This window comes from Homo sapiens, chromosome 14, assembly GCF_000001405.40.
Source record: "Homo sapiens chromosome 14, GRCh38.p14 Primary Assembly".
In the NCBI taxonomy this organism is placed as follows: Eukaryota; Metazoa; Chordata; class Mammalia; order Primates; family Hominidae; genus Homo; species Homo sapiens.
In genome coordinates, this window is record NC_000014.9 from 105,541,894 (window position 1) to 105,563,152 (window position 21,259).

The window sequence follows — 21,259 nt, forward strand, 5'->3', positions numbered from 1 at the left end:
AGGGAGCACAAAGAACTAAGTAGGAATATCAGGTATCAAAATAATGATTGAGAAAAATGTGGTAACTGAAATTCAGTGGGACGGACGCAGCCGAGGAAAACAATCTGCGAAGTGACAGACGAGGGGAAGGAATCCTGGCAGAGTGGCCAGCATGCAGGAAGAAGGACAGGGACTGTGAGGAGAGAAGTGGGTGGGAGGACAGAGCAGAAGAAAAAGATGAGAGGGATTTTCAAACATTAGGGATGAAAGACGCCACAGAAATCCAAAAGATGATATGAGGAAAACCTGTACCTAGTCACAATTATATTAAAATTGAAGAATATTAGGAAAAAAAGGGAATATTTAAAAAATGTTGAAAAGAAGGAAAAAGTTTTAATGGAAGAGCAAGTGGTGGATAAAGGGTAAGAATCACACCGACTTCAGACCTTTCAACATGATTCAAAAATGCAAGAGGACTACAAATTATTTTTAAGGTATCAAAAAAACCCACTTTATACCTTTTTTTTTTTTTCTGAGACAGGGTCTTGCACTGTCACCCAGGCTGCAGTGCGGTGGCTCAATCACAGCTCACCACAGCGTTGAACTCCTGTGCTCAAGCAATCCTCCCACCTCAGCCTCCTGAGTACCTGGAGCACAGGTATGTGCTACCACACCTGGCTAATCTTTTAATTTTTTGTAGAGATGGGGTTTCCCTATGTTTCTCGGGCTGGTTTTGAACTCCTAGCTGCAAGCAATGCTCCCACCCCAGCCTCCCAAAATGCTGGGGTTACAGGCATGTGGCCAACCTACACCTATAATCTTATATCCAGCAAATTTTTAAATTCAAATGTGAAGGTATACTAAAAACATTTTTAGGCAAAAGAGGCCTCAGAATACTTGCTATACAGAGACCACATTGAAAACACTGTAGGAAAAAGTTCTCGCAAACGAAGGGAAAATCCCAGGAGCTGTTGCAAGAGATACAGGAAGAAAGAGCGAGTAAAGGTTATTGTTAATATCATGATATATACCTATATAATATACTGTTGATAACAGATATCATGAAAATGAAAAATTGATAATATGTCTACAATTACCCATAACCAAAACTCCAGACAATATCAATATGATGCGGGATAAGGAATTAATCAAGGAACTAAGATTATGCTAAAGCATATATCTTGTTGGGAGAATATGAATTATATTTATGAATACATTCAATAAATGAGTAAAGTTATTAAAAGTTAATCTTAAGAACAATCACCATGAAAGTTACAAGTACAATTTTTTAAACTAGTAAAAGAAGATGTAATCTATTCAATGGAAAACAGGAAATGTGGAAGAAACAAACAAAAAATAACTTTGATGATAGAACTAAATCATAATACAGTTGTAATCACAATAAATATTAATGGCTTAAACTAATCAGTTAAAAAGTAGAGATTCTTGTATTGAAATTAAAAAAAAATTAAGACAAGACAAAGCTAGGCATAGTGGCAGACACTTGCCTATAGCCCCTGCTACTCAGGCTCAGGAGGCTGGGGTGGAGGATTGCTTGAGTCCAGGAATTTGAGTCCAGCCTGGGCAACACAGCAAGACCCTGTCTCTGAAACAAACAAATGAACAAACAAAGAAACGAGCACTCCAAGAGCAACTTTATAATTAAAACAAAAGAAGACACAAGTTGAAAAATTACAAGGATAGAAAACTATGAACTAAGAGGGTTATCATCACAGTTATAGCAGGGAAGCTAGGAGTGGAGAGGGATCCTGGCCATTGAATGCTTAGACCTGGAAATTCCATACATCGCTTCTCAAATATCATTGGCCAGAACGAATGACAAGGCCAAGGGGTGAGGGAGGAGTAACTCTGTGCTCCTGGAAGTAGAGAACCACTGGCTATTGGTGAATATGAACAATGTTTACTGCTACCACATACAGATTCTTAATATAAGATAAAAAGGAAACACCACAAATCAATGAGACAAGATCGTTTATAAATGGTGTTGGCAAAATCGACTCACTATACAGGGAATAATAGAAACTGGGCCTCCACCACTTATCCCATATGTGCGTGGACTTGAGCCAGATTATAGATCTGTGAATTGCAAAACTATAAAGTTAATGCTAAAAAAAGGAGGATCACTTATTGATGTTGGAGCAGGGAAAAAGTTATAAAATAAAAATTCGGAAGCACAAATCATAAGGCAGATGATTGAAAAGACAGCTTACATGAAAATTCAGAAAATACTTCCTGACTGTTCTGTGCTTGGCTTCCTTCACCTGTAAAATGGGGAGTTAATTTAACTAAGGGGTTGAGAGCAGCCCCCAGGCCATTGTAAGTGCTTCGTGTGCTACATGTTATTACAATAATCAGTATTTCATGCCCTTTAAAACATCTCTAGTAATGCTTTTTCCCAAAACATCAATTTTGCCTGACAGTAAAATGCCACAAACTTGTGAGTTTTGTGAGCTACTGTGTGCCTGGTTTATCTTTTCCCATGATTTTCCCTCCTAACTCTTCTGTGTCATTTTGTTTTGTGTGTGTCTCTTGAAAAACCACATAGCTGGATTAAGAGCATCCATCTTTTAACTGGAGAATGTAGTCCATGTCTTTTTATTTTCATTACTCGTTATTTATTTCTACCTCCTTATTTTGTGTTTCTATTTGTCTTGCTTTTTCTGAGTATCTTTTAAATCGTTTTCTTATTTCTTTAGGAGTTATTTTCCTCACTTAATCTTTCTTCTTCTGATTTAGAAGTTATACATTCAGTTTCTATTCTTTTGTTAAACAAATTTTAAATTTTACCTTTTAGAGACAAGGTCTCACTTGTCACCCATGCTGGGTGCAGTGGTGTGATCATAGCTCACTGCAACCTCAACCTCTTGGGTTCAAACGATCCTCTAGCCTTAGCCTCCCAGTAGCTAAGACTACAGGCATGGGCCACAACACCTAGCTAACTTTTAATTTGTTTGTAGAGACAGGATCTTGCTATGTTGCCCAGGCTGGTCTCAAACTTCTGGGCTCAAGTGAGCCTTCTGCCTTGGCCTCCCAAAGTGCTGGGATTATAGGTATGAGCCACTGTGCCTGGCCTGGCATCTTGTTTTTATATGGTATTGAAAAGCTAAACATATTTGGGTCTGTTATTAACATGAGAAGCTGTACTATGAGGAAGCGTGTTTTTAAAAATTATGAAATGTTAGGCTGGGCGTGGTAGCTCATGCCTGTAATCCCAGCACTTTGGGAGGCTGAGGCAGGCGGATCACATGAGGCCAGGAGCTAGAGACCAGCCTGGCCAACATGGTGTAACTCCATCTCTACAAAAAATACAAAAACTAGCTAGGCATGGTGGTGCATGCTTGTAATTCCAGCTACTTGGGAGGCTGAGGCACGAAAATCGCTTTAACCTGGGAGGTGGAGTGAGCCAAGATTGCACCACTGCACTCCACTCCAGCCTTGGCAACAGAGCAAGACTTTGTCTCAAAAAAAAAAAAAAAAAAAAAAAGTTGTAAAAGGATTGTGGAAAAGGGATCTTATGTGGTTAAAGTCGGCACCGTCCCCCAAATCACCAACCCCCAGGTCCCAAGGCCTGGGCTGGGCCAGGGCTGACAGGGAAGCCCAGGAGTCTTTTGAACCCACTCTTCCTGCCTAGAATAGAGACAGGACAGGCTTTATGTCCCCCATTCCTCCCTCCCAACTCCAGGGACATTGAAAGTGTCCTTTGTACCTACCTGCAGGAAATTGGGGGGCTGGGAGGGAGGGAACTGAAAATACACATTTGTTATCAAAAATAAACCCCTGAGGGGGAGGCGGCAGGAAGATTGCCCCCCACATCCCTTCCTTCACATCCACCCCACCAAATATAGGAAGAGATGACTCCCTCTCCTCTATTGAAAAGCCCCATTTAAAAATAGATTATACTATCAAAATGGCAGCAGGGGAGAGACAGGGAGACCTGGAGTACTGGCTGGAGGGGCCCCCCAGACAGGAACCACCCCCACAAAACCCCTCCATGGGAGGAAACAGGCAGGACCCCAGGGAGTTTGGCAGACAAAGGAATGGCTTCTCAGGGGGAAGAAGAACAAAGGGACATTCCTCCCTGGCCAAAAAGTTGGTTAAAAAAGGATAAGCTGTCTGAGAGAAAGGTTGAGGAGGTGGAAATTTCTATTCCAAGGGTGTGATTCTGCCTTGGCCAAGACTCCCAACCCATTAAATGGTACAAATTCTTCCTGGACCCCGAGTATGGCCAGGAATAATAAAACGAAACTAACTTCTACTCACATCCTAAAATGGACACAGGGCTCCCTCATCTCCCCACGGGCAGGCCGAGGAATGAAGAAAGAAAGGTCGTTCTCAAGCCAGACCCCGATTGTCCTGTCTTGGGGAAAAAAGCGGGGAGGTGGGGGAGACGTCCTGACCACCCTAATAGGTTAGGTCAGGCGCTTCCCAGTGGCCTTCAAAAAATAAATAAATAAACCGCCCCTACCATTGAAGTAGGAGACGTGTCAGGGCAGCCACTGGGGGACGGACAGAAAAGAGAGAAAAGAGAGAAGCTGTGGAAGCTGAGTGTTTTCTGTGGAGGAGTTAATGAGAGTCACTCCTGGGAGAAATCCTTCCCAAGGATCCCCACCCCACCACAATCAGAGCATGAGTCTTTCAGTTGAACTGTGTTTCTCCTTGAGAGAGCACGGATGGAGGGACCCCAGAAGGGGTGGTGGTGCTGGTGGTGGTCATGGCCTCTGGGGCCCTGGCGAGAGCACCGCGGGGGTCGAGAGGCCAGCCACGCCGATGGAAGGGATGTGCACCTGGGCGCCGCCACTGGACGGAAGCTGGCAGGAGAGCTTGGCCGGGCTGCGGGGCGCAGCGGGACTCAGGCTGCTCCGGAAGTGAACGCTGGGAGGCAGCGAGCTGGGTGTCAGCAGCGCCGGGGTCAACGTGTGCGTAGGAAGCAGGGACAGGGTCAGCGCCGGCCTCGGCGCCTGGAGGCCGGAGCCAGTTCCCGATCCTGGGGTCCGTTCGGCTCCCGGCGCACCTAGCAGGCTCGGGCTGAGTGGAAGCTCTAGGTCCCGGGGCTTCCGGCCCTTCTGCGGCTGGGAGATCTGAGGGCTGGAAGCCGCGTGGCCGCCCGCCTGCCCTGCGGTGTCCATAAGGACCTCGGCAGCCACGCTGGCACGCCCTCCTGTGGAGGGACTTCAGGCTCGGCCTTGGCGGTTTCTGGCACGAACCCTCTCTCCCCCGCGAATTCCAGCTCTTCCTCGGGCCCTTCCACTTCCACTTCCGGGGGCAAAGGGCGGCGCAAGCCCGGCTCCACATTCGGCTCTTCCAATTTCAGGTTTGGGGCCTCGGGCGGGGTCAGGATGACCTGCAGAGGGAAGCCGGCTTCCTCAGCCTCCAGGCAGGCCTCCCAGGGGCTTGGACTGCAGGAGCTGCGTTGGGGAGCACCGCAGCAGGCCGAGGCTGAGGGGGTGGCTGCGGCTGCAGAGACTGGATGTGAAGGTGGAACAGAGGCCCGAGCGCATGTACTTGTTCCGGCTGTTGCGCGCCAAACCGCCAGGGCCTGCCATTCCTGCACCCTTGGGTGTGCCTGGCTTTCCTGAGGCAGTGCCCCCTGGGGCGGCATGTGCAGCAGCAGGGGCCACAACTGCCATGGTGAAGTAACCGACACCTCTGGGTGGGGCGGGCAGTCCTCACTCAGTGGAGCACCCTGCGACCTCAGGATAGGACACAAACTTGTAGACCAACTTCTGGCCGCTCACCTTGCGGATGATGTTCTCGTCATAGTCGTGAGAGGTGACAGCATGCTGGCAGCCCTCACTCGCTCTCGGTGCCTCCTCGGCCTTGGCGCCCACTCTGGCCACGCTTGAAGAGCCCTTCAGCCCGCCGCTGCACCGTGGGAGCCCTTGTCTGGGCTGGCCGAGGCCGGAGCCGGCTCCCTCGGCTTGCAGGGAGGTGTGAAGGGAGAGGCACGGGTGGGAACCGGGGCTGTGCGCGGCGCTTGCGGGCCAGCGCGAGTTCTGGGTGGGCGTGGGCTCCGCGGGCCCCGCACTCGGAGTGGCAGGCCCCGCCTGCCCTGGGCAGTGAGGGGCTTAGCACCCGGGCCAGCAGCTGCGGAGGGTGCGCCGGGGTCCCCAGCAGTGCTGGCCCACCGGCGCTGTGCTCCATTTCTCACTGGGCCTTACCTGCCTCGCCGTAGGGCAGGGCTCGAGACCTGCAGCTTGCCATGCCTGAGCCTCCCCGCCGCCCCCCACCGCCACCCGCCGGCATGGGCTCCGGCCTGGCCCGAGCCTCCCGGAAGAGCGCTGCCCCCTGCTCCACTGCGTCTGGTCCCATTGACCGTCCAAGGGCTGAGGAGTGTGGGCACACAGCGGGGGACTAACAAGCAGCTCCACCTATAGCCCAGGTGCAAGATACACTGGGTGAAGCCAGCAGGGCTCCTGAGTCTAGTGGCGACTTGGAGAACCTTTATGTCTAGCTAAGGGATTGTAAATACACCAATCAGCACCCTGTATCTAGCTCAAGGTTTGTAAACACACCAATCAGCACCCTGTGCCTAGCTCAGGGTTTGTGGATGCACCAGTTGGCACGCTGTATCTAGTTAATCTGGTGGGGACTTGGAGAACCTGTATGTCTAGCTAAGGGATTGTAAATACACCAATCAGCACTCTGTATCTAGCTCAAGGTTTGTAAACCCACCAATCAGCACCCTGTGTCTAGCTCAGGGTTTGCGGATGCACCAATCGGCACTCTGTATCTAGTTAATCTGGTGGGGACTTGGAGAATCTTTATGTCTAGCTAAGGGATTGTAAATACACCAATCAGCACTCTGTATCTAGCTCAAGAGTTGTAAATGCACCAATCAGCGCTCTGTGTCTAGCTAATCTGGTGGGGACTTGGAGAATCTTTATGTCTAGCTAAGGGACTGTGAATGCACCAATCAGCACTCTGTATCTAGCTCAAGGTTTGTAAATGCACCAATGAGCACTGTGTCTAGCTCAGGGTTTGTAAATACACCAATTGACACTCTGTATCTAGCTAATCTAGTGGGGACGTGGAGAACTTTTGTGTCTAGCTCAGGGATTGTAAACACACCAATCAGCACCCTGTCAAAACGGACCAATCAGCTCCCTGTAAAACAGACCAATCGGCTCTCTGTAAAATGGACCAATCAGCAGGATGTGGGTGGGGCCAGATAAGGGAATAAAGGCAGGCTGCCTGAGCCAGCAGCGGCAACCCGTTAGGGTCGTCTTCTATAGGGGAAAGCTTTGTTTTTCACTGTTTGTAATAAATCTTGTTACTGCTTCGTTTTTGCATTTACAGTGCCTTTGTGAGCTGTGACACTCATGGTAAAGGTCTGTAGCTTCATTTCTGAAACCAGCGAGACCCCCAACCCACCAGGAAGAACAAACAACTCTAGACGCGGTGCCTTAAAAGCTCTAACACTCACCACGAAGGTCTGCAGCTTCAGTCTTGAACCACCGAGACCACAAACCCACCAGAAGAAAAAAAAAAACAAAAACTCGGAACATGAGGGAACAAACGGCGGGACATGCCGCCTATTAAGAACTGTAGCACTCACTGCGAGGGTCCGCGGCTTCGTTGTTGAAGTCAGTGAGATCAAGAACCGACCAATTCCAGACACAGTAGTACGGCAAGGCCCGCCTGAGCTTGTCGTAATTCACGTTGGTCTTGTTCTTGCGTCGCCCCCACGGCTAGGCCACCTTCCTCTGCAACCACCACCATCCCATGAAGTCCAGGAGCTGTGGCCGTTGCCTTGCTCTCAGCTGCAGCAGAAAGTGCCAGAGCGTCACAGGTGGGTCCATCGCCGGGGGAGTGCTCACGCCATCCTAGGGGTACCTGTGTGTAGCGGGGCGGTGGTGCTGGCCATGCTGGCAGCTCCGGGAGGTGGGGGGCTCCATACGCGGCCCCGCCGCCCCCCAGGCCTGGGTGCGGAGGCCGGAAGGTTTTTTTTTTTTACGTTTTAAGTAATTGGCTTAGGAAAAACAAGGATTTTTGTGTGCCATCAAGATAACTTGTGCTTCATGTTGTTTTTCATTATGTCAGTGATTCACGAAAAAGGTAATTTTTTTTCGCAAAGACATTTTTCTGAAGTAGAGAGCTGCGTTTGACGTCCCAAGTCTCCGCAAGGTGTAACAAGACAAGCATCAAAAGTAATGATTTGGGGTGACTTTGCCGTGGTTACATTAATAATGAGATGTGGGGTAGCTAAGGGAAAGAGAAGAGGAAATGCGGACAGGCCAATTAGGCTTTTTTCTTTCACGTTACTCTGGTGGGGGTTGGTCCTGGGATGAAGGTCCGTGACTTTGGAGAGGGAGACTCCTTTTTGACTGGGTATGGTGGGTCTACTCCTTAGCGGGCTGACTGCCGTCTCAGTCGTTAGGAGCATCACATAAGGTCCTTTCCAGGTGGGTTCAAGCTTTTCCCCTTTCCAACTTCTGATAAGAATGTGATCTCGGGGCTGGTGTTGAACTGAGAATTCAAGGGAGGAGAGGATAGAAGACAGACTGGATACATAGTTTTTAAGAAACTCATCGTTTGTCTCAAATGTTGGGAGGTGAGTAGTGGAACTTAAATAAAGCAACCCATGAAGCATTTCATAAGGGGATAGGCCGATGTCTTTTCAGGGAGCAGTTCAGACTCTTATAGGGCCATGGGAAGACACTTAGTCATGGTAACCGGGTTTCTAGAATTAATTTAGGTAGGTGGGTTTTTAGAGTCTGGTTCATTCTTTCTGCTCTTCCTGGTGAGGGTGGATGCCAGGGAGTATGGTATTCCCACTTTATTTGTAGTGCTTGGGTTAGCCCTTTAATGAGCACGGTAAAGTGGGTCCCATTGTCTGAATCAGTGGTCTCTGTTAGTTTGAACCTGGGTATGATGTGTTCTAACAGGGTTTTAACTGCATCACTGGCTGTTGCGCGTGGGAAGGGGAGAGCTTCTGCCCAGTGGGTAAGGTGGTCTGCTATCACTAGTAAATACTTGAGGTGGCCTATTGGGGTCATTTCAATATAGTCAGCTTGGATGCTTTGGAATGGCCTTACCCCTGGATTGTAGGCTGGGCATGGTGGCTCATGCCCATAATCCCAGCACTTTGGGAGGTCAAGGTGGGAGGATCCTTTGAGACTAGGAGTTGAAGACAAGTCTTGGGAACTTAGTGAGACCCTGTCACTACAAAAAAATAAAAATTAGCCCGGTGACATGGCACATGTCTGTAATCCCCACCACTCCGAAGACTGAGGTGGGAGGATAGCATGAGCTTGAAAGGTGGAGGCTGCAGTGAGCAATGGTTGCACCACTGTATTCCAGCCTGGGTGACAGAGCAAGAGCCTGTCTCAAAAAAGAGATTTTAAACTAATTAGGCTTTTTTTTTTGTTTGTTTTTTTTTTGAGACAGTCTCACTCTGTTGCCCAGGCTGGAGTGCAATGGTGAGATCTTGGCTCACTGCAACCTCCGTCTCATGGGTTCAAGTGATTCTCGTGCCTCATCCTCCCAAGTAGTTGGAACTACAGGTGTGTGCCATCACGCCCAGCTAAATTTTGTATTTTTAGTAGAGATGGAGTTTCACCATGTTGGCCAGGCTGGTCTCAAACTCAACCTCAGGTGATCTGCCCACCTCAGCCTCCCAAAGTGCTGGGATTACAGGTGTGAGCAACTGTGCCTGGTCTAATTGGGCTTATTTGATAAGTAAAGTTATAAAGAAAACAAATAGTATTTGATACTACATCTTTAAATCATATTTTTGGATATGTCATTAATGAATGCTTCAGAAATTATGTGGAAATCCTAGAAATCGGATATGTCCTGGTATAATTTTATCAGCCATAATTTCAGATATTGTGTTAAAGTGTTGTATGTTACAGAAATAACCAGATTTCCTTGTCAATTGTATCATTATTATAATGAACTCTCATCAGATCTTTAAAAATGGCCATTTTAAGCCTTTGCCATTCAGTTATTCTTTTCCTTTGATTCTTTACTAAAGTAATTTGCAATTAGGTAGACAAAAGTGGCTATTCTTCAAGATTCATGAAAAAGACTCTGACAGTTACTCCGAAATACAGACCGCTGCTGATAGCTTTAAGATCATACCATTGGACTGTGTAAGAATTTTCAGAAATGGAATGAAAAAACTGATGTCATCAGACTACTAATCCAGCTTCAAACAGAACAAGATTCAATTACATGGGACTGAATGAACAAAGGAAGATAATTTTTTTTTTTTTTTTTGAGATGGAGTCTCACTCTGTTGCTCATGCTGGAGTGCAATGGCGCGATCTCGGCTCACTGCAACCACCACCTCCCGGGTTCAAGTGATTCTCCTGCCTCAGCCTCCTGAGCAGCTGGGATTACAGGGGTGCGCCACCACACCCAGCTAATTTTTTTGTATTTTTAGTACAGACGGGGTTTCACCATGTTGTTCAGGCTGGTCTCGAACTCCTGACCTCGTGATCTGCCCGCCTTGGCCTCCCAAAGTGCTGGGATTATAGGTGTGAGCCACTGCACCCGGCCGAGGATAATTTTTAAATGACTTTTTGTTGGAAACATTGCTGGTTCTTTAATGTTTTGTTTTTCAGATTTTAGAAAACTTTTTTCCCTTAAGCTGTCAATAGTTTGCAGCAATTTGGTAAGTTACATCTTTGTGAACAGAGAGGAAACAACTATTTTCTCCCTTCCTAATCCCTCCAGAACCCCAAAACCAGTAGTGAGTGTTTTTATTGAAGGGGGCCAGCCCCTCCACACCTGTGGGTATTTTTCGTCAGGTGGGACGAGAGACTGAGAAAAGAAGTAAGACATAGATACAAAGTATAGAGAAAGCACAGTGGGCCAAGGAGACCAGGGCTCAGCATACGGAGGACCCGCACCGGCACGGGCCTCTGAGTTCCCTCAGTATTTATTGATTACTATTTTCACTATCTCAGCAAGAGGAATGCGGCAGGAGAACAGGGTGACAGTGGGGAGAAGGTCAGCAAGAAAACGTGAGCAAAGGAATCTGTGTCACAAATAAGTTCAAGAGAAGGTACTATCCCTGGATGTGCACATAGGCCAGATTTATGCTTCTCTCCACCCTAACATCTCAGTGTAGTGAAGAGTAACAGCAGCATTGCCACCAGCATATCTTGCCTCCAGACACAGGGCGGTTTTCTCCTCAGAATAAAATGAATGTATGATCAGGTTTTACACCGAGACATTCTGCTCCCAGGGACATGCAGGAGACGGAGGCCTTCCTCTTATCTCATCCACAAGAGGCTTTCCTCTTTTTTTTTTTTTTTTTTTTTTTGTTGAGACAGAGTCTCGCTCTGTCGCCCAGGCTGGAGTGCAGTGGCATGATCTGGGCTCACTGCAAACTCCGCCTCCTGGGTTCATGCCATTCTCCTGCCTCAGCCTCCCGAGTAGCTGGGACTACAGGCGCCCACCACCACGCCCAGCTAATTGTATTTTTTTTTTTTTTTTTAGTAGAGACAGAGTTTCACCATGTTAGCCAGGATGGTCTCGATCTCCTGACCTACCTGGTGATCCATCCGCCTCGGCCTCCCAAAGTGCTGGGATTACAGGCATGAGCCACCGCACCCGGCCGAGGCCTTCCTCTTTTACTAATCCTCCTCAGCACAGACCCTTTACAGGTGTCGGGCTAGGGGGACGGTCAGGTCTTTCCCTTCCCATGAGGCCATATTTCAGACTGTCTCAGGGCGGGGAAACCTTGGACAATACCCAGGCTTTCCAGGGCAGAGGTCCCTGGCTTTCCGCAGTGCATTGTGTCCCTGGTTAATCGAGACTGGAGAATGGTGATGACTTTTACCAAGCATACTGCCTGTAAACATTTTGTTAACAAGGCATGTCCTGCACAGCCCTAGATCCCTTAAACCTTGATTCCATACAGCACAGGTTTCTGTGAGCTCAAGGTTGGGGCTAAAGTTACAGGTTAACAGCATCTCAAGGCAAAACAATTTTTCTTGGTACAGATCAAAATGGAGTTTCTTATGTCTTCCTTTTCTATATAGACACAGTAACGGTTTGATCTCTCTTTTCCCTACACTTATTTTTATGACAGTAGAGTTATTTGTAAAAGTTCAGTAAGAATCTGTTCTCCTTGTAACGGCACAATTACAGACTCTGATGATATTACCAAGGCTTTGACCGGAATATCCTATCTTCAGATACGACCACACAGCTTTAAGGAACTAGAGTTGACTTTATGGAGCCAGTAAACCCCCCCTTGGAAAAATTGGCCTGAGGGTTCCCAGTCTTGCAGGTTGAGTAAGGCAGCCCAGCAACCTCTGTATTTTGGGGACTGAGCAGAAAGGAACTCACCCAGATCTATAGGTACCCTGTGCCAAGTCAGATGGCATGTCCTTGATGTGGCTTCCCAGCCCCGGGAGGCCTTTACAGTTCAATCTGAGATTCTTTATGAAAAGCTCCAGCAAAGCAATTTTTTTTTTATTTTGAGACGGAGTCTCATTCTGTCACCCAGGCTGGAGTGCAATGGCGTGATCTTGACTCTGCAACCTCCGCCTGCCAGGTTCATGTAATTCTCCTGCTTCAGCCTCCCGAGTAGCTGGGATTACAGGTGCACACCACCACACTCAGCTAATTTTTTTATTTTTAGTAGAGACGGGGTTTCACTATGTTAGGCAGACTGGTCTTGAATTCCTGACCTCGTGATCCACCTGCCTCAGTCTCCCAAAGTGCTGGGATTACAGGCATGAGCCACCACGCCCAGCCTCCAGCAAAGCAAATTTAAAGAGAGCGAATGTGGTCAACTGCTTCTTGTTGCACTTATGTAAACAATCAGGCCAAGTATAGTGAAACTAGACTGACTTTGCAAACATATCACTCTTATTTGGATCAACATTTATGGAAATGTGGGAGTGACTGTGGAGAAAAAAATGATTCAATGCAAAACTGCAGGGCACCGTGATGAGATTTCAGCCCTGCTCATTGTTTACGAGGTTTTGTTATTTATCTACAAACTGGACTGGATCTTGAATTTTTAGGGAAAAGAAAGATCAGACTGTTATTGTGTCTATGTAGAAAAGGAAGACATAAGAGATTCCATTTTGACCTGTACCCTAAACAATTGCTCACAGAAACCTGTGCTGTATGGGATCAAGGTTTAAGGGATCTAGGCTGTGCAGGACGTGCCTTGTTAACAAAGTGTTCACAGGCAGTATGCTTGGTAAAAGTCATCGCCATTCTCCAGTCTCGATGAACCAGGGGCACAATACACTGCGGAAAGCCGCAGGGACCTCTGCCCTGGAAAGCCGGGTATTGTCCACGGTTTCTCCCCATGTGATAGTCTGAAATATGGCCTCGTGGGATGAGAAAGAGCTGACCGTCCCCCAGCCCGACACCCGTGAAGGGTCTGTGCTGAGGAGGATTGGTAAAAGAGGAAGGCCTCTTGCAGTTGAGATAGAGGAAGGCCACTGTCTCCTGCCTGCCCCTGGGAACGGAATGTCTCGGTATAAAACCCGATTGTACATTTATTCTATTCTGAGATAGGAGAAAAACCACCCTGTGGTGGGAGACGAGACATGCTGGCAGCAATGCTGCCTTGTTATTTACTCCGCTGAGATGTTTGGGTGGAGAGAAACATAAATCTGTCCTACGTGCATGTCCAGGCATAGTACCTTCCCTTGAACTTACTTGTGACACAGATTCCTTTGCTCACGTTTTCTTGCTGACCTCCTCCCCACTGTTCTCCTGCTGCATTCCCCTTGCTGAGATAGTGAAAATAGTAATCAATAAATACTGAGGGAACTCAGAGGCCGGTGCCGGTGCAGGTCCTCTGTATGCTGAGCGCTGGTTTCCTGGGCCCACTGTGCTTTCTCTATACTTTGTCTCTGTGTCTTATTTCTTTTCTCAGTCTCTCGTCCCACCTGACGAGAAATACCCACAGGTGTGGAGGGGCTGGCCCCTTCAGAATTCTTCTAGTTTTCTCTAATATCAGGCAACAACTCTGCAAACTAATTTTTCCAATTTTTCCCTCACCCTCTGACTTGGAATCAGTCAAATTTAAAACTGCTCTGTTCCTGAAGCCCTGTGAGCTGAAATGGGACAAGTTGATGTAAACTTTAGAGAAATCATCCCCACAGATCCTGTGCGGGCAGCTTCTGCAACACCTGACCTGCAAATCAGGAAGGCCCTTCAGCTGCCTACCTGGCTGCAGCTGAAGATGCTTCAGGCCCAGCGTCTAGAAATCTTCCAGCCTGGTGCCCACTGGGTTCGGAAACTGCATTTCTAAGTGTTAACCTTTGTGTTTCGTTTATTTTCAGAGTCTCTCCTCTTTGAATGTCCAACTGCTAGCACCATGCGGCAAAATGTCCTCTTCTACCCAGTCCCAACAGAAAATCCAGCTGGTTCTTAATGAACGAAAGGCCACCCAACAAGAAAATGTACTTATATTGTTGGAGGGAAACCAGAATGTCTCCTCTTTCTTTAAACAGGGTGGACTGACAAAGATTCTCTGCTTGGCCAAACTACAGTCGGGCTCTGGAACCTTCTCCTAGGCCAGCCTGCACTTCCTTGTAAGAAAAAGGCTTTAAAAAGTACCCGGTGGGGCCCGGAGCGGTGGCTCATGCCTGTAATCCCAGCACTCTGGGAGGCTGAGGTGGGCGGATCATCTGAGGTCAAGAGTTCAAGACCAGCCTGGCCAACATGGTGAAACCCTGTCTAGTAAAAATACAAAAATTAGCTGGGTGTGGTGGAGGGTGCCTGTAATCCCAGCTACTCGGGAGGCTGAGGCAGGAGAATCGCTTGAACCCGGGAGGCAGAGGTTGCAGTGAGCCAAGATCATGCCACTGCACTCCAGCCTGGTGACAGAGTGAGACTCCGTCTCAAAAAAAAAAAAAGAACCCCCCTAAGTCAGGTTAAAGACCCACTCTTGACATCTGATCACCCTTGATCCTGAGTTCCTCATCTTCCACCATCTCCCAGGTCTGATCACCCTGGTCTGTCTTCAGCAAAAATCTTCCTGGGCTAATTTAGCCAGAACCCTCCTTCCCCCCAATATTTCCTCTTGGGAATGTCCGTCCTCCGAGTTTACCCAGCTCCCTCCTTGGCTGTCGATCCCTGCCAGCCCATGCTGTGTTAAGAACTGAGCCCCATCTCTCTCCCCCATGGCCATGGTCCCTGCTCCTGTGGCGGTGGTCCTGAATCACACCTGCTTCCGCATTGAACAACTATCATGGAATAATTTTTTCTTTAACATTTCTAAACACACTCTTAGGAGGCGCCAGCAGCCAGCGTGCGGAGTTAAGTGCCTGTGCCCTTTGTATGAAAGTGTCACCGTTGTCCTGGTCTTGAGGGGTGGCTTTCGGGTGTAAACGGCCGGCAGAGGTGAGTAGATGCTGGGAGGCTGCTCCAGGCGTCTTGTTTGCTCCAGGGTTCTTGAGACTCTCCTGTCTATGAGAACGTGCAGTGGCACGGGACGGCCGCCGGGGGGCTCCCGAGTCCGGCTCTGGAGTCTGTGGCCGCGCGAGTGCACCTGCCTGGGCCGGCCCTGACGGATTTTTTTTTTTTTTTTTTGATGGAGTCTCACTCTGTCTCCCAGGCTGGAGGGTAGTGGCGCGATGGCAGCTCACTGCAACCTCCGCCTCCCGGGCTCAAGCGATTCTCCTGCCTCAGCCTCCTGAGTAGCTGGGACCACAGACACCCGCCACCACGTCCAGCTAATTTTTGTGTTTTTAATAGAGACCGGGTTTCACCATGTTGGCCTGGCTGGTCTCTCCAACTCCTGACCTCAGGTGACCCACCCACCTCTGCCTCGAAAAGTGCTGGGATTACAGATGTGAGCCACCACGCCCGGCCTCCTTTTGGATGCTTCTAAAGTCTCTTTGTCTCTGGTGTTGGCAGTTCCATCGGCAAGCGTCAAGGTGTGGACGCGGTTTGCTTTTATTTATCCTGCTTGGGACTTGGCCTTGATCCTGACACATCCTGTTATTCAGCGATTTTGGAAAATTCCCAGCCACTGCCTCCCCCGACTCTGTTTCTCCTTTGGGCAGAAGAAGCCCTTGTGGGAGCCTCGGTCCAGCCTCCGCGGGGCTGCGCTCGGGCTGGGTGGCGTCTCCTGCTCTTTCTTCGGTGTTACCAGCTCCTGCTCCTGCGTGTCCTCTGCGCTGCCTGTCCCATCCATTCTTATTTTAGCCTCATCTATTACGGTTTTCAGTTCTAGAAGTTCTTCGTAAAACTCTCAGGTCATTTCAAAATGCAATGTGCAGTAATTTCCCATTTTGCAGTAATATTTGAATAGCTTCTGTAAGTAAGTTTAAAAAATCTCTTGGCCGAGCGTGGTGGCCACGCTGTAATCCCAGCACTTTGGGAGGCTGAGGCAGGAAGATCATGAGGTCAGGAGATCGAGACCATCCTGGCTAACACGGTGAAACCCCGTGTCTACTAAAAATCCAAAAAAATTAGTCGGGCGTGGTGGCGGGCACCTGTAGTCCCAGCTATTCAGGAGGCTGAGGCAGGAGAATCGCTTGAACTCGGGAGGCGGAGGTTGCAGTGAGCCGAGATCGCACCACTGTACTCCAGCCTGGGCGACAGAGCGAGACTCCATCTCAAAACAAAACAAACAAAAAAACCCTCTTAAGCACACATTGCATATTCTATGTCTGATAACGCCGACATTTTGCTTTTGTTTGGGTTCTTATTCTATAGTTTCTTGTTTCACTGATTCTTGTTTCTGCTTCTTTAGGGCTTTTCTGATTTGTATGTGAGCTGGGTTCCTGGGATCCTGATCTGGGCGCGTCTTTGAGGCTTGCCTCTGAGGTCCGCTGTCCCCGCATGAGCGGACGGCAGAGCGCGCCTGCCTGGGAGCCCAGGAGGCTGCCGGGCCAGGGACCCCGGGAACCCCGGGAACCCCGGGAACCTCTCAGCAGCAGAACTGCAGTGGCACAAGACGGCCACCAGGGGGTCCCGAGCCGGTCTCTGGGGTCCCTGCTGGGGTTGAGGGGCTGTGGCTGCAGACGCGGACCTGGCAGGGGGACCCGAACCCCAACAGGGCCCTGACCGGCCCCAAGGCTGAGCCTGCCCTGTCCCACCAGCGCCCAGACCCCGATGTTGGGCCGGGGCCTTCCTTTCCTTGTCCCGACCCTCTGAGGTTCCTCCCCGGGGTGTGAGCTGATTGTGAGCACACGGAGGCCTTCCTCCTCTCTGGGGCTCTGGAGCCCCTGGGGGCCTGCAGGGCCTGGGCCTGGGCCTGGCTGCTGTCCTCTGTGCTCAGGAGGCTTCTCCCACCCACCCACTTCCGGGCACAGCCCCCAGCCCCACACCCAGCCGCCGGGAGGGCATCCCCAGGGGAGGACCCTCTGCTCCGGAGCCGCGTCCCTTGTCCTCCAGGGACAGTGGCCGGAGGCTGGTGCCTCAAGCTCGTGCGCCTCATGCAGCATCCCGTGGGTCCATTCGCGACCATAGTGAAGACCCGCAGGCCCCAGGCCCGAGCCGGCTCCCGGGCAGGCCGCGTTCTGGGGCTTCTGCGGGGACACTGGGCCACGCCAGGAGGAAGGGTCCTGACCAGGGTCAGGGAGCATCGGATGCTGCCGGCAGAAGTGGGGGGCGCGGGGCCCCACCGAGGAGCCCAGGCCAGCTTCCCCATCTGCCCCAGGTGCAGCCCTGCAAGGCCCCCAGGCCACAGCGTCCCCAGGTCACAGCGTCCCCAGGTCACAGCGTCCCCACACCCAGGGAATGCAGGACTTTGGCAGAGGCTGGGATCCCAGACCACAGAGCCCCACAAGCTGACGCCTGTTCGCGGATGCCACAGCCATCTCCGCGGCAGGCGCTGGGGAGGGGAGGGGATCACAGTGCTGGACACGGACCGGGCCCCAGCCCTGAGCCCAAGGCAGAGCCGGGATCCGGCCCCGAGAGCGCCCCTGCCCCTGCCCCTGCCCCTGCCCCTGCCCCTGCCCGTGCCCCTGCCCGTGCCCCTGCCCCTGCCCCGAGCCCGGGAAGCGCCGCGTGGTCGGCGGCGTTCGATGCTGCTGTCGGCCACACGGGGGCAGCAGAGCCTCAGCGGCTGCCGCAGCGGGTCCAGTTTCCGGCCGCCGGGGTTGGGCTGGCGGTGCCTGGGGGTCCTCCCCAGAGGCCCGCGTGTGAAACGTCCGAGTGCGCTGGGCGCTGGACACGGAGATGGGTGCTTGGGCCACGGGCCTGGGGGACCCCACACGGCCGGCTAGGCAGGCCCAGACAGCCCAGGGTGGGGGTTCCATGGGGGCAGGAGGGGAGAAGCCTGGGCTGTGGAGCAGCTGGGACGTCCGGGGAAGGGCCTGGGGGTCAGAGGGGCGGCTCCCGGGACAGGGAGGCACGTGGAGGGGCGGGGTTTGTGGCAGCCCCGGAGCCGCCTCTGAAGCTTCCATCTGCAGCCTCCTGTGGGGCCGGGTCTGCTTCTCTTGCTGGGCACCCACATCCACCCCCGAGGGGTGTGCGACAACCCCCATTCCAGCCCACTCAGATGGTCTCTAGCCCCTCCCGTCACAGTGAACCCCGGTGTCGGTGCGAGACGCCTCCGTGTATTCCCGGACGTCCCTCTGCAGGCCCATCCCCACCTCACAGACAGTCACACCCTTCCAGGCCTTGCCCCATCCGCAGTCCCTGGCCTCACCATCGCATTGCAGGGAGGCGGGCATATGCAACCTCCATGAAATAAAGCCCTAACGGAGAAGGCCAGAGTGGGAACTTCGTTTCCACCAGCAGGTGGGGCAGACACCCTGGCTAGCCCCGGGGAAAACCAGTAAAAATACTGGATTTAAATCCCTTCGAATTCTCCTTTCTACAGGCAAGCTGTTTAGTGAGAAAGAAAGGGCCCTGCAAAGATCCTCCCCAGGTGGACGGGCAGCCCCCAAGCCTGTATTGAGCTCCCGGACGCTGCTCCTGGGGAAGGGCCTGCCGAGGACAGGGGCCAGTGGGAGCCCCTGCCTGACCACAGGCTGTTCTGCAGCCCAGGTCAGGAGCGCTGGTGCCTGCCGTGTGGGGTGGCCCTGGTCCTGACCGCCTGGGGTCCCAGGTGGTCCCGGGTTGTAAGAGTCTGTGGTGCTTGTGAAAAGCTTGCACATCCTTCCAGGGGAGACTCGCGCGTGGGGCGAGGGCAGGAGCAGGAGCTCATAATCACACAGGAAAACAGGAAGCCCTGAACCCCGGGCTCGGGAAGCGGCGGGGCGTCAGGTTTGGAGGGGCTTCGTCCCCCACCACCTCCCCATTTGCACCCCCAGTCCCTGACCCGCATCTTTCCTCACCTGGTCACTGTCCCCCACCCTGTCCCCCACCCTGTCCCCCACCCTGTCCCCTGTCTGCCATCTCCCTCCCAGGAGGGGGCTGCTCCTGCCTAGCACGCGGTGCCCTTCCTCCCACGTCGCTTAATTATATTTGAAAATACAACATTTGAAACGTGCAAAGAATGGAGGGGCTTTTCTGTGAGTGCAGGGTTCCCCTCCCGTGTCCCCCCACCAGGGGGCTTCCCCGTCCAGCCCCGGCTTGTCCCTTTCATTTTAACAAAACGTCCTCACCACAGTGCATGTGTGTTTTATAAAAGCAGTATTGGAAGTTAATGCTTTTAATACAGAAAAAAAAGAACCCGAAACAATATAACTGTCCTAAGTGATGTTGAGTGGGGAGTGCCGGGTGGGAGTTGAACTGCGGGACCACGATCCCTCCACTTCCAGCCTGTCCTGGGGGTGTCATGTGGCCCCTTCTGACCAGCCCTGGGCAACTTCTGGATGGACGGGTGGGGAGGGGCCGTGGAGGGGATCTGGGACCAGGAGAGAGAGAGCGTGGCCAGGCAGCCCCAGGAGGGCCCTCCAGAGCCCGAGTGGGCCTGCGTCTGTGGTCCCCAGGTGCGGTCCCTCGAGGTGGCGTGTGGGCCCCCCAGGCCCGCGCCCTGCGGTTCCAGCGCCTCCCCAAGCCTCTGTCCCTGCAGCCCCCACCCCCCCTGCACTTTCCTCTCCTTTGTCTGTGCTGGTGGTCCCTCTCTCACTGTCCCACACAACACCGCACCGCCCTCCCCCAGGAAAGCCTCCACCTTTTCTCTTAGTGAAATAGAAGCCCTTTCAAGGTGACATGTCACCTACTCACAGAACAGTGCCCCAACCCAGGACGCAGCCTGAGGCCCCTCAGGAGCATTGTGTGCCCCCAGGCCTGTCCCCAGTGGTCCCCACCGTGGGCCCACCACAGCTCCTGCTGTCAAGGGCAGCCTGGGTCTGAGCCCCGTCCCCCTGTGCAGGGCACGGGTCTGGGGGCTGGCTTGTCCCCTGCTGGGCGGTGGGCGGCCTGGGGTGTCTCCCAGACACGCTGCCTGCGGCCGGCTGGTGTGGACTGGGCCTGGTGGGCCAGGAGCTGCCCTCACTATGGTGACAGGATCGGGCTGCCAGGCTCCTGTGGGGGCTCAGCAGGAGGGGATGGGAGACGGCAATGCTCACGCCTGACCTGCTGCCCTTGGGGGAGCCGTGGTGCCACCTGGCCGGCCTGCCTGAGAGACCCCCACGGCTGGTGTGGGAGCCTGGGGGAGCCCTGGGCAGGTGGTGGGGCAGTGGGCAGAGGTGGCTGCAGAGGGACAGGGCCTGGCCAGGACGTCACCCTGAGGCCACTGGAGAGGTCAGCAGGGGCCCAAGGAGATGCAGGGATTGGCAGCTGGGGAGCACAGGGGTACTCCTGAGCCGTGGTACCCAAAGGTCATGAGCTGAGAGGGGAAAGGCCCAGAGCCGCTGGATGGTGGATTCTGGGCACCTGATCCGCAGGGTGTGGTGGCCCTCTGAGGGACCCCTCTGACAGACTGCAGGCAAGCTGTCAAGGGTGTGTGTGTCTGAGGGTGAGTGAGTGTGTGTGTGAGGGTGTAAGGGTGTGTGTGAGAGTGTGGGTGTGGAGTGTGTGACAGTGTATGAGGGTGTGGGTGTGAGGGTATGTGAGGGTGTGTGGGTGTGTGTGTGTGAGGGTGAGTGTGAGAATGTGAAGTCTGAGGGCTGTGTGATGGTGTGTGAGGGTGTGTGTGAGAGAGGGTGTGAGGGGGTGTGTGAGGGTGTGTGAGGGTGAGTGGGTGTGTCGGTGTGAGGGTGTGTGGGTGTGAGAATGCATGAAGTCTGAGGGTTGTGATGGTGTGTGTGGGTGTGTCAGGGTGTGTGTGTGGGCATGTGAGGGTGTGAGGGTGTATGAGGGTGTGGGTGTGTGAGGGTGAGTGGGTGTGTCGGTGTGAGGGCACATGAGGGTGTGTGGGTGAGTGTGAGAGAGAATGCGTGTGAAGTCAGTGTGTGATGGGTGAGGGTGTGTGGGTGTGTGAGGGTGTGTA

The 21,259-nt window shown here is 52.0% G+C and overlaps 1 long non-coding RNA gene and 1 pseudogene across 3 annotated transcripts; one reads left to right on the top strand and one right to left on the bottom strand.

The window, feature by feature from the left end:
* On the bottom strand, positions 3,530–7,941 carry ELK2BP (ETS transcription factor ELK2B, pseudogene; annotated as a pseudogene).
* LOC105370698 (uncharacterized) lies at positions 5,300–15,510 on the top strand. 3 transcript variants are annotated; one of them, XR_001750918.2, is made up of 4 exons: positions 5,300–5,769; positions 7,297–7,789; positions 14,436–14,516; positions 15,218–15,510. It is a non-coding gene; the product is annotated as an uncharacterized LOC105370698 (long non-coding RNA). The 3 variants fall into 3 exon arrangements; XR_001750919.1 differs by lacking the exon at positions 5,300–5,769 and adding an exon at positions 5,890–5,928; XR_944262.4 differs by lacking the exon at positions 5,300–5,769 and having other exon boundaries at positions 7,205–7,789.
* Positions 15,511–21,259: the final 5,749 nt, after the last annotated feature.